This window comes from Homo sapiens, chromosome 2, assembly GCF_000001405.40.
Source record: "Homo sapiens chromosome 2, GRCh38.p14 Primary Assembly".
NCBI classification, from domain to species: domain Eukaryota; kingdom Metazoa; phylum Chordata; class Mammalia; order Primates; family Hominidae; genus Homo; species Homo sapiens.
This window is the reverse complement of record NC_000002.12, coordinates 201,647,507-201,660,461: the sequence shown is the minus strand read 5'-3', so window position 1 is coordinate 201,660,461 and position 12,955 is coordinate 201,647,507. Positions and strand designations below refer to the sequence as shown.

The following is a 12,955-nucleotide window of genomic DNA, read 5'->3' as shown; positions in this document are numbered from 1 at the left end:
CTAGTGGTGACGTGCACGTCTTGCTTATGTCATTTGCCTTGATTTGATGGCTAACATGATCTTCTTAAAGGCTTAACTTTTTCATGTCTGTTTCTGCACTTACCCAAATATCCAGAGGAACTTTCAGAAGGTAATTGTTTTTATTTCCTAGATATACCAAATAGAACTATGTTTAAGATCTTTCAGTGCCTCAAAAATGAATACTTGACTGGATAATGTTTAAGATGAAGATACGGAATTTGTTGTTGTTTATGGTTTTCCCCTCATATTTACATTTTTTCCCGAGGAAACACACTTCCAAACTAAGTTTGTGAGGTTCTCCAAGGATATGACATTTTGTGGGTGAAATCAATGATTAAATATTCAGTTTCATAGACAACATTTAAAAGAACAATAAAAATAATTAAGCTTTATGAATGTATCCCCAAGAAAACATTTCCTTTTAAACTTACTGACATATCTAAGTGAGAAAATATACTTACTTACCAGAAGATGGAATTGATATTGGTGTGTTTTCTTTCTATGTATTTTAAAACACTTAAAAAAAAAAGGTTAAGAAAAAAGGTTGCATATGTCAGTTCATTCTATTAACAAATGCTCTTTATATTTTATATATATGTTTATATTTGAGACGAAGTCTCTCTCTGTTGCCCAGACTGGAGTGCAGTGGTATGATCTCAGCTTACTGCAACCTCCATCTCCCAAGTTCAAGTGATTCTCCTGCCTCAGCCTCCCAAGTAGCTGGGACTACAGGCACAAGCCACCACACCTGGCTAATTTTTTGTATTTTTAGTAAAGGCGGGGTTTCACCATGTTGGGTAGGCTGGTCTCGAACTCCTGACCTCAAGTGATCTGCCACCCTCGGCCTCCCAAAGTGCTAGGATTACAGGCATGAGCCACTGCACCTGGCTATATATTATTTCAATGATCAGAGCAGAGCTGTATATTTGAGAAGGAACTTAAGTAAAAAGTAATTTGAAAATAATTTTCTTAATAACTTTTTTTCTGGAGTTTTTTCCTGAGATCTCAATGAAAGGAGAAACAGGAGTTTGAACTATCTCTAGATGCTTCAGAGGCAGTGGGCACAGTTTTCCTCATTTTGTCTCTCAGAGTCCTGGCCAGTCAGAAACATTTGGCAGCCACAGAGCAAATCTTATCTTATATAGAATGAACCCTTTTAAGAGGGAGAAAATAAAAACCCATATCTAGCAAAGAGATTAATTACAGGACTTGCAGAAAAAAAAAATTATAAACACAGTATGGTCAAGAACAAGGCCGGGCGTAATCCCTGTAATCCCAGCAGTTTGGGAGGCTGAGGTGGGTGGATCACCTGAGGTCAGGAGTTCAAGACCAGCCTGACCAACATGGTGAAACTCCATCTCTACTAAAAATACAAAAATTAGCCGGGCATGGTGGTGCGTGCCTGGAATCCCAGCAACTCGGGAGGCTGAGGCAGGAGAATCACTTGAACCCAGGAGGTGGAGGTTGCAGTGGCCGAGATCGTGCCATTGCACTCCAGAGTGAGCAACAACAGCAGGGGGGTAGGCAGGGAGGGAGAAGAACAAAAAGCTACTTTATGCTTATTTAAAGTTATATGATACTGAATCATAGTAAAAACATAAGAACTGGGTATGTATTTTTAAACATATCCTAAGGAAACTTATCTTAAAAAATTAATAAACTCGTTTTGGCTTTAACCATACTAGACAGAATACATTCAGTGTAACGCTCAAATTCTGTGAAGTGCGTCCCTATAGTTTGTTGTGTGTGAATAATAGGATGAAAAATGCTTAGAACATTCGGTGAGCCACTCAAGGATAAATTCAACTCTGCTGCCGTCTACTAAGGTGGTCACTTGAAAAGTTGAAAATGATTTCATGAATTTATTCTGAATAAACTTCTCGCTCTCACATATTCTGCTCCATCTGTTCTTTGTGTTTCAGACAAGGAGGAGTTTGTTGGCTACGGTCAGAAGTTCTTTATAGGTAGGTGATAAATTAACAAGAGGTGGGTCTCTGTCACTTGTTAAATTATGTTTCCAAACCTGACACTGTTTTGAAAGTTTCTTTTGCTAATGAACATTTCCAGACCTGTTCCTCATTCTAGTTTCCTTTTCTTTCTGTCCTTTTTTCTTGTCAATATTCTGATCCATTAATTATTCATTGTTATTCATCTAATTTCCACTGGGTTATCTATTAATTACTCATCAAACACAAATCTTTTTGTTTTCTTCCAGACTGTTTCGTAACCTATTTATCTTATGCTAAAGAGACAAAGTCTCTGACTTTTAAACTTACTTCTTATGGCCACATTTCTATCATCTGTCACCTGGGCAGAGCTTTGTGAAGGACCAGGTACCACTCATGTAAAACCGCTCTGGGCTTCCTTCTATAGGGAGGCAGGGGAAAACTAGCAGAGCCGCAGGGTCTAGAAGGTTGGTTCCCAAGCTGGATGCATTTTGGAATCATCAGGGGAGCGTGAAAAAAAAAAAACAAAAAAAAAAAAAACAAGGGGCCACCTTTCTGTATTGCTTTCAGAATCATTCAGCCTAAAAGCTATTAGGTAGAGCTGAGCAGAGTAGGCAGCTACACAAAGGTGGAGAGTAAGGAGCATGAGCAGGGTGAAGAAGGCATCTGTGCAGGGGACAATGGTAGCCTGGTGCCAATTGTCAGAGGCAGAGTAAAATCAAGAGGGCAGCTGCCATCACTTGGCCTCTGATACCCAACAGGCTTTACAAAGATGCCCGCCTCATCTAGCTTGGGCTCTGACACTTTGTGCGAGGCTATCAACACTGTCTGTCCCCTATCTTGCACATTTAAGTGCTCTTGATTGATACAATAAGCAAAAAAAAACAAAAAAACAAAAAAAAAACAAGGGCCAGGGTTCTCACTGTTAGAGAAGGGAGTTACAAACATGGAAAGGGGAAGTCTAGAATGAATCCTGTAGTGTTGGATTGACATTGTATGTACTGGTGTGAACTCATGGTTTTCAATATATAGACATACAAATATAGATCGAAATGTGCATGTGTATTTATATGTACACATAGAGTTGCTAACTCTGTCTACTGAGAGCACCTGGAAACAGCTCTGAAGATACCAGAAAGCCCTATGATTCGAAAGGCAGATTAAGCAGGAATCTAGGAGCTTAGAAATCATGACCCATGTGTCCAACTTTGCACTGATCACACAGTCCTAAGCAACCACCTAACCTGTCTGTGTCTTAGTGAAACCACCTGAAAAATGTGAAAAATGAGCCTGCTCCACTCTTTCTACCCTGGCCCAAGCCACCCTCATCTCCCACCCAGACCACTGCAGTAGCTTCCTAACTGCTCTCTCCTGAGGCCACACTTGCTCTCCCTACGGTTTACACCAACCAGAGGAGTCTTTCAGAAACATGAATCAAATCATGTCACTACCAACAGCTTCCCATCACACTTCCACAACAATCCAACACTTTCAGAGGCCCTGTGTGATCTGGCTCCAGCCACTTCCCTGACCCTATTTCCATACTCCCTGTTGCTTACCGCCCTGCAGCTATACAGGCTTCCTTGCTGTTCCTCAAATGCTCCAAGCACAGTTCGTTTCTCTGCACCACTGCACTTGCTGTTCCCTTGGCCTGGCTTGCCCGTCTCTGCAGAGGCTTCCTGATGTGGCTCCCTGCCTTCCTCCAGATGTCTGCTCAACGCCAACCTTTCAGAGATACTCCAACCTTACTGCCTATCTAAAAAAGCACCCCCATCACTCTCTATCTACCTCATCTTCTTATGAGTACTTATTTTTTGTTGTTTTTTATGTTTGTCTCTCTTCTTCTACAAAATGTAGATTTCATGAGAAAGTGGCCTTGGATTAGTTGAGCCATCTATCGCCAGCACCCAAGACAATGCCTGGCCCAGAGCAGGTGCTAGATGGGCTAGCACAGGGGGCATTTTCATATTTTTCCCTCATATTACTTCCCATCTTCTAACTTCAGACAGACCTGACTATATTAATGAACACTTTAGGATCATGGTTGCTACATATTTCATCAGGTGTGAAGCTACAAGTGATCTCTCCTGCCTGGTTCTTACGTTCTGTGCACTTCCCCTCCCTAGCTGGCTTCCGCCGCAGCATGCGCCTTTGTCGCAGGAAGTCTCACCTCAGCCCGCTGCATGCCAGTGTGTGCTGCACCGGCAGCTGCTACAGTGCAGTGGGTGCCCCTTACGAGGAGGTGGTGAGGTACCAGCGACGCCCTTCAGACAAGTACCGCCTCATAGTGCTCATGGGTATGTCCCAGCATGCACTGTCTCTCCTCCTCCTTGAGAAGTCTTCCTTCTAGATTCAGGTGTCTTGCATTGGGAATAATGGTGAAAGTAGAACTCTTTATGGACCCCCATACAAATACCTTTTTTAAAAAACAAAGCCATTGTACATGTGTGTTTATAAGTAACATTTTATTGTATCAAGCTTTTTAAAAAATCTACAAGTGAATGTGTTATGACATGGTGTCCATGAACTATATAACCAGTATTACGATGTCATTATGACTGAGATTTTTTTTTTGCCTGCTTAGAATTGTTCTGTAAACATAGATGAGTGTTTCCCCAGACAGATCATTAACCTGTATCCTGAAAATAAATTCTTAAGGTCCATTTCCCTGAGAAATATGTTAAATTCTTAAAGTCCATTCCCCTAAGAAATTTGTAACTACTTCCTTTAGAAAAGTATCTAACATCTTCTGGACTGTATCTTTGGTGCTTTATAAAGATCATGGCAAAGATAGTGCAGGAGTGACCTGCTTTTGTGACCATGACTTTTGCAAAGTTGGTCCCTGTAGCAGTAGCAACTTGTATCCTACTGCCTTCGTGTCTGCCTGTTTAGCTTCATGAGCAAGGCAGGTCCCTGTAGAGCAGAACGATGTGCCTTACAGCTGGGACCAGCAATATCATTTGCAGGCCCCATTGTAAAATGCAAATGCAAGGGCCCCTTGTTAAAAAATTATCAAAGATTTCAAGATGCAATAGTAGAGAATTCATCCAAGCACAGTATCCTTCTAAGCATGTGCCCTGTGTAACTGCACAGGTTCTATACCCATGAAGTCGGCCCTGCCTCCGGCCGGACATGGGGGTGCTGATCGATCATCTGTCAGGAATGTGCCCCTGAATTCTGTAAGTCACAGAACCTATAATTGTTGATGCTGGTTTCTGGCTGTCACTTGATAAAAACCTCATTTGAAGAAGAAAGGCAGAGCTCTCTGATTCTCTAAAATGAGACCAGCTAATTCTCATGGCATTCAACATTAGATGAAGTTTGCTGGGGGTCAGGTTCCTGTGATTCCTTACCTCATTCCTGAATGTTGAAACAATGTGGATTACTCCATGGGTCACTAGAAAAATTCCCAAGAGTTTTCTGGGGTTCTTCCAATTTATGAGAAAGGAAGTTACATAATTTCCCTAAAAATATTTGCTCTCAAGTTTCTTCAGTAGAAGGACTAAAATGATAATTCCATCACATAATTATATTTATCCACATCTGATGATTTCTGTGTGTGACTTTTTGTGTTTAGGACCCTCTGGTGTTGGAGTAAATGAGCTCAGAAGACAACTTATTGAATTTAATCCCAGCCATTTTCAAAGTGCTGTGCCACGTATGTTTAGTTCTGCTTTCATAATGGTTTGTGTTTTGGTAAAACTTTCTTTGCTGATCTCATTTAACTATGTCATTCCATCTTTGTTGTAAAAGTATACAACACCAGGGATAGTTCTTAAGTATTTCTAACCATATTTATTTTAATAAGGAAAACTGACTTATTGGAATGTAGGCAGCTGGCTTTTAAAAGGGCTTTTTTCTTTTTTTAATTATTATTATATTTTAAGTTTTAGGGTACATGTGCACAACGTGCAGGTTTGTTACATATGTATACATATGCCATGTTGGTGTGCTGCACCGATTAACTCGTCATTTAGCATTAGGTATATCTCCTAATGCTATCCCTCCCCACTCCCCCTACCCCACAACAGTCTAAAATGGCTTTTTTCTATTTCTTAACATTATAGGGATGGCCTTTCAGGCAAACTAATAGTTAGCAATAATAGTTAACATACACCCAGTGCTTACTATCTAAAAATTGATATATGCCTATACAACTTTATATAAATTTATGAGTATGATTATAAAATACACAGCTTTTTAAAAAATGGTGTTTTCTGGCTGGGCACGGTGGCTCACTCCTGTAATCCCAGCATTTTGGGAGGCTGAAGTGGGTGGATCATCTGAGGTCAGGAGTTCAAGACCAGCTTGGCCAACATGGTGAAACCCCGTCTCTACTTAAAATACAAAAATTAGCTGGGTGTGGTGCTGCATGCCTGTAATCCCAGCTACTCAGGAGGCTGAGACAGATAATCGCTTAAACCTGGGAGGCGGAGGTTGCAGTGAGCCGAGATTGCACCATTGCACTCCAGTCTGGGCGAGAAAGTGAGATTCTGACTCGAAAAAAAAAAAAGTGTTTTCTTATTTCCTTTTACTCGTAACTCCTTTATTTCTCCTAAGCTCCCCCTTTACTACTACCAGCTCCAAAGCAACTCCTAAAACGTAATCTTCCAGACTTTTCTCTATATAGAGTTGTGTGAGTTTTTTACCCATTTAGAGTTGTTATATGAAGTTTTTTTTTAAGCTTTAACATTTGAGAGCTACAATTCTAAAAATAGAAGGAATTATTTGTTTCATACTGAGATTCATCGTTCAAAAAAAACCTTTAAAATCACTCTAAGACAACCTGTTTTATTGTAAAAATAGAAAAGATCAAGACTTGAGATAGAATTCCTGATTTCAACAAAATAGAAAGTTCATAATAATGCATGTTTATAATAATGTATAATAATGCATCGTTTCTAATATGTGTAAAAGAAAGTTAAAATTTTGACTGAGGCACTAAGATGCACATCTGTAACGAGGAATGTGAAAACAAGTTAAACTCTTCACACACCTCGAGGGTATAAAAGGCTTGGGGAGGGAGATTCATGGGGCTTTTTGGGGAGGCTTTTATTGGAGAGAGCGGTGCTGGGTGTTCCCGACCCACTGAGTGTGGGAAGAGTGTGTGGGTGTGCTTGCTTCCCCCTCCCCTCAAGGCAAGACAGAGGAACCTAGGGGAACCACTTGGAGAGCTTCCTATGTGTCTTCTGCACTTTGGGGGACACAGAAGAATGGTGTCCGAATTACACCTGAAAAATCCAAAGGAGAAGAGCTTACAGGAAGTGGCCAATGGCTATAATTTGGGAAGTAGCTGTCCTTGTAGGGTCCATCACAGCTAGACTTGTGATGTTCCCCAAGGACCAGATCTGGGCAGGTAATGTATAAGACAGTCAGCCCAGGGTTATATGATTCCTGCCCAGGAGGAAGCCTGAGGAGAAAAAGGCCAAAAGTGGATTCCCAAATATATCAGGCTTTGGAAGGAATCACAGATGACAAACTGGAATAGGAATGGACTTGAGAGGCCTTGTGTTGGTGAGATAGGGTTTGCAAAATAACCCAATATATCATTTAGGAGAGAAAGAGCCGGATTTAAGGATCTGCCAAATCTAAAGAAAGCCAATAGCAGCCAGAATCAGTATTTGCCAAACCAGAACCTTCCTTCCTGCTTTCCTCTCCCTCCCTGCACTCTAGCCTTAGAGAGTTCTAAACCAGTGGAAGTGAGATCTATCGGGGGCAGAGAGAAGCAGGAGCAGTAGAAATATGGTGAAAGGAAAGAGAAGTGACTCATACTCTCGTCTGGCTCTCGTCTGGCTTCTCTGAGCGCAGGCTTCCCTGGTGCAGCAAATTTGAGCCAGATGTGTGGAGAAGCAGCCTAAAATCTAAGTGAAGTTTATAATTTTGATGATTATGTGAGAATGGAATTTTAATTAGTCAGTTGAGACTGGATGATGAAAATGAAATTGTGGCATGAGTGATGATAGACTTTTAAAATTAAACCTGAGTGAAAGAGTCATGGAAACCGCTAGTGTTTTTTGTTTTGTTTTGTTTTGTTTTAAGACGGAGTCTTGCTCTGTCGCCCAGGCTGGAGTGCAGTGGTGTGATCTTGGCTCACTGGAACCTCTGCCCCATGAGTTCAAGTGATTCTCCTGCCTCAGCCTCCCGAGTAGCTGAGATTACAGGCACCCACCACCATGCCCAGCTAATTTTTGTAGTTTTAGTAGAGATGGGGTTTCACCATGTTGGTCTGTCTGTTCTCCAACTCCTGAACTCAAGTGATCTGCCCACCTCAGCCTCCCAAAGTGCTGGAATTATAGGCATGAGCCACCACACCCGGCCAGGAAACTGCTAGAATTTTGTGCAGGGGCTGGGGAAGATCTTGCCTCACATAAGGGCTGTGGGAGACCAAGAAGTTGCTTTATGATCGCATGCTATAGGCTGTGCTTTCTGAAGTACTGCTTTCATGTACAGGAATGTGCATTAATCTGAAAAGCAAAAACTACCAAAGAAATCAACATTTTCCTTTTCTTTCTTTTTTTTTTTCTGTTTGTTTTGTTTTGTTTGAGATGGAGTCTCACTGCATTGCCCAGGCTGGAGTGCCGTGGTGTTATCTCGGCTCACTACAACCTCACCTCCTGGGTTCAAGCAATTCTCCTGCCTCAGCCTCCTGAGTAGTTGGGATTACAGGTGTACGTCACCATGCCTAGCTAATTTTTGTATTTTTAGTAGAGATGGGGTTTCACCATGTTGGCTAGGCTGGTCTTGTACTCCTGACCCCAGGTGATCCACCCGCCTTGGCCTCCCAAAGTGCTGGGATTACAGGCGTGAGCCACTGTGCCCGGCCAAAATCACCATTTTTCGATAGTCTGAATAAAAATAAAATGCCCACAGAATATAGAAGAATTTTAAGAATATCAACGTAGATTTTTAATCATTCAAAGTGAGAAAATACTGCTCATATTTTGCTTTTTAAATTGAGGTTTTAAGCTTAAAATGGATACCTCGAGTTATACATCAATTCACAGACTTTAACCTACCATATAAATATTAGTCCAGTGGAAGCAAAGGAGGAGTCATCTTGGGTTTAGATTGACATAATTCACTATCACCTGAGAGCTATAAGGTTTTACTAGAATTTTGTTTTAAGTAGGAAGCTATGGGAGATGTGATGTAACTGTAGGAACTCTAAGGATCTGATGAGAGGCTTGAATAAGGAAAAAACAAAAATGACCCCAAGATGACATTTGCTTTTAGACCCCCTTGAAGGTTGGTAACTCCTTTGATAATTTAAGGCCGGTTTCTAGCTTCTACTTGATCATTTCCATGTATTGATATCATCAGATGTTGATCTATTTCATCCTTAAACTTTGTCAGATGCAAATACACAAATTCTGTATGAATAAGGGGAACTAATGGTAATATAGATTAAGGGACTAGCTTTACAGTATATAGGATGCAGAGTTGAAACTGTCTTACTCATCTTTGTGTTTTCAGAACCTAACATGATACCTGGAACATAGTAGGCACTCAGTACACACTAGTTGAATAAATGAATGAGCAGACAACAAATAACTTTTAGATATTTGATGAACTCCTATATTCTATACAACCTGGCACTATTTAAGTTGAAGAGTCTGTAATCAAAGTGGCCATATCAAAGAATCAGACTGAATCTAGACTCAGCTAATCTTTCCCTCCTAGAGATCCCTAAAACGAATCACCACTCGGTTGGGTATTAATGCATCTGGTCAAGATTGCAGAATGTCATGGGCTTTCTCCATTTCAAATTTGAGAATCTATTGTTGTAAAAAACACTCATCTAGAGGAGTCAGAACACGTAGGTTCTAATTTCAACTTCGCTTTTCATCAGTCTTATGAATGTGAGCAAGTTTCTCCAAAAGCTTTTCTTATGAGTAAAATATAGATATTAACAGTTTACCTAAGGTAAGAGTGTGGAAGATGAAATGAGATCATGGGAAATGCACTATCCAAATGTAAGATATTATTGGTATTGCTACCTGGGAGCTTTCAGGCATCTAAAGGTTCACACATAATTCACTAGCACTTATTTTGAAGTAATAACAGGTGTTCCCTTAGGTCTTTCTTATGCTGGCTTAATACCTAGTGCATTCTTTTTCATACCATAAGCACTCAGTAAAGGTTTATAGACTAACTGATTTTGATACGAGAACTTATCACCAATTCAGGCTTCTTCTTTTTAGTTCTAGCATTTTATCTCCTTGATTATATATTCATTTATTTATTTTGATTAGATATCTTTATTCAAATGCATATTGGTAATCAAAGAATTCTGAAGACACTGAAACCTTTCATTCCCTTTTTCTGATAGACACTACTCGTACTAAAAAGAGTTACGAAATGAATGGGCGTGAGTATCACTATGTGTCCAAGGAAACATTTGAAAACCTCATATATAGTCACAGGTAAAGTAGAGGTTCAGAAGCTGATTCTTACCTCTTGTTGTTTTACATTTGAAATAGATTCCCTATTTTTATGTATTTTCCAAATCTCCTGGGTAATTCCTTTTGTTTCTGAGGAGTTAAGCAAGAAATGTACATCGATATACAGCACACCAACTCACTGGGTTTAGAAAGGGAGCAGAATGGAGTCTGCAAACCTTGGAGAACTTGAGGAAATACATAAACTCTAGATATGCTCATTTTGTTCACCTCTTGAATATCTATTCATTCTTTCTGTGTTAATAAAGTCCACATATTTATATTCAACTCTAGTGCAGTTTATCCTCATGTTACTACTAATAATATTTTCCTTGTAGAAAGTGTTCTGTTTTGTTTGGCCTGCTCTTGCAGGATGCTGGAGTATGGTGAGTACAAAGGCCACCTGTATGGCACTAGTGTGGATGCTGTTCAAACAGTCCTTGTCGAAGGAAAGATCTGTGTCATGGACCTAGAGCCTCAGGTGGGTCCATGGTGGAATATTTATGTCCCCAAACAATGAATGCGTATCATCCATTTTTTGTGCACATGCTGTAGGTTATAGTTGAGACATTTATTCTGTTAGCCTTTTAAGAATAAGGCCATTTCCCATATATAAGATCTTACTTAACGTGTCAATTGACAACATTTTACTTTTAGTTGGGAAAGAAGTCTTGCTTCTCAGACAGAAAAGCAGAACTGATTGAGTGGTCACAAAGAGAAGCAAGAATCTTTCTTGCTTTAACCTTGATCACAAAGGCATCAGAGTAACTTCTTGTGGAGTGAATAAGATGTTGCTTTGTACAAGGAGGTGAGGTTTCTATGTTGTCATATCTGTGGCTACCTTCCTGAGACCACATGTAGAATGGAGCAGGGGTGAGCAAGTTAAGGTAAGATAAACAGCATGCAATCCGTAGGCCCAATTTTTATGAACTTTGTATTTTCTTCGTGTGTGTGTGTGTGTCTGTGTGTGTGTCTGTGTTTGTTTTGTTTTTTGAGACAAGGCCCTGCTCTGTCATCCAGACTAGAGCGCAGTGGCATGATCTCCGCTCACTGCAACCTCCGCTTCCCGGGTTCAAGCAATTCTCGTGCCTCAGCCTCCCGAGTAGCTAGGACTACAAGCACAAGCCACCATGCCTGGTTAATTTTTGTATTTTTAGTAGAGACAGGGTTTCGCCATGTTTGCCAGGCTGGTCTGGCAATGGAACTCCTGGGCTCAAGTGATCCACCTGCCTCAGCCTCCCAAAGTGCTGGGATTATAGGCATGAGCTACTGCGCCCAGCCATGTTTTCTTAGTCATTTAGAAATATACTTTGTGTGCTAGAGAATCAGAGGAAAACAGATGGTAGTAGTATCCAATGTGAGATAATAGCAAGAGGAAAGGGAAGTGAAGGTGAAACAGAGCTGATCCACCTTGAGAGTCTGTCTTTGTCTTTGTCATATGAGATCATGTATAGAATCCTACTCTCAGTAAATGAGATTCTCTCATGTATAGACTCTTACTCTGCTAGTAAGATTTCAATTGCTAGTCATAGCTAATAAGAGTCAGGATCTGACCTTAATTTTGATTCTAAAACTACATCTTCAAATTTTTAAAATGTTCATTTGTTTTTTAGAATTGAGGAGTTGAGGGTACATGAGACTATACTCTAAAAATAATTGCTAATTTCTGGTCTTAGAAATTTTGAGAAGCTTCATGTTCACTCTAGAAAGCTAGGACTTCTGTTTTTAAATGTGCATTTAGATCAGGTGCAGTGGCTCATGCCTATAATCCCTTGGAAAGCCGAGATGGGAGGATTTCTTGAGGCCAGGTGTTTGAGACCAGTCTGGGCAACATAGTGAAACCCCATCTCTACTAAAAATACAAAAATTAGCTGGGTGTGGTGGCACACGCCTATAATCCCAGCTACTAGAGAGGCTGAGGCACAAGAATTGCTTGAACTGGGAAGGCGGTAGTTGCAGTGAGCAGAGATCCCACCCCTGCGCTCCAGCCTGGGCAACAGAATGAGACTCAAAAACAAAATAAAACAAAACAAAATAGCTGGGCATGGTGGCACATGCCTGTGGTCCCAGCTACTTGGGAGGCTGAGATGGGTGGATCGTTTGAGCCTGGGAAGCTGAGGCTACAGTGAACTGTGATTGCACCACAGCACTCCAGCCTGGGTGACAGAGCAAGACCATGTCTCAAAACAAAACAAACAAAAAATAAATGTGCATTTAAATTTTCTGTGTAGGATATTCAAGGGGTTCGAACCCATGAACTGAAGCCCTATGTCATATTTATAAAGCCATCGAATATGAGGTGTATGAAACAATCTCGGAAAAATGCCAAGGTTATTACTGACTACTATGTGGACATGAAGTTCAAGGTAAGAGCAAGTCAAAAACTACTGTATTGCTTTCAGTGGCTTCTGCGTGGGAGAGATCTGGGTTGGGCTGGGCCAAGGATCTCTGATCTCATTGTCCTCCTCCTCCTTTTTGACCCCCTCTCCAAAAGGCCCTCAATAAAATGGTTTACTATGGTTTTATTTAAAAAAAAAATTAAAACTGTAT

General features: G+C 40.6%; 1 protein-coding gene across 2 annotated transcripts in view; it reads left to right on the top strand.

Moving 5' to 3' along the window:
* The window catches only part of MPP4 (MAGUK p55 scaffold protein 4), a 53,771-nt gene that overhangs the window by 38,183 nt on the left and 2,633 nt on the right, over positions 1 to 12,955 (top strand). The window contains exons 15-21 of one of the 2 annotated variants that reach the window (NM_033066.3): positions 116 to 130; positions 1,944 to 1,985; positions 4,094 to 4,264; positions 5,545 to 5,625; positions 10,297 to 10,390; positions 10,778 to 10,886; positions 12,637 to 12,771. In NM_033066.3, the coding sequence (NP_149055.2) occupies positions 116 to 130; positions 1,944 to 1,985; positions 4,094 to 4,264; positions 5,545 to 5,625; positions 10,297 to 10,390; positions 10,778 to 10,886; positions 12,637 to 12,771 (647 nt within the window). The remainder of the gene's footprint in view (positions 1 to 115; positions 131 to 1,943; positions 1,986 to 4,093; positions 4,265 to 5,544; positions 5,626 to 10,296; positions 10,391 to 10,777; positions 10,887 to 12,636; positions 12,772 to 12,955) is intronic. The other variant, NM_001438024.1, reaches the window with a different exon arrangement.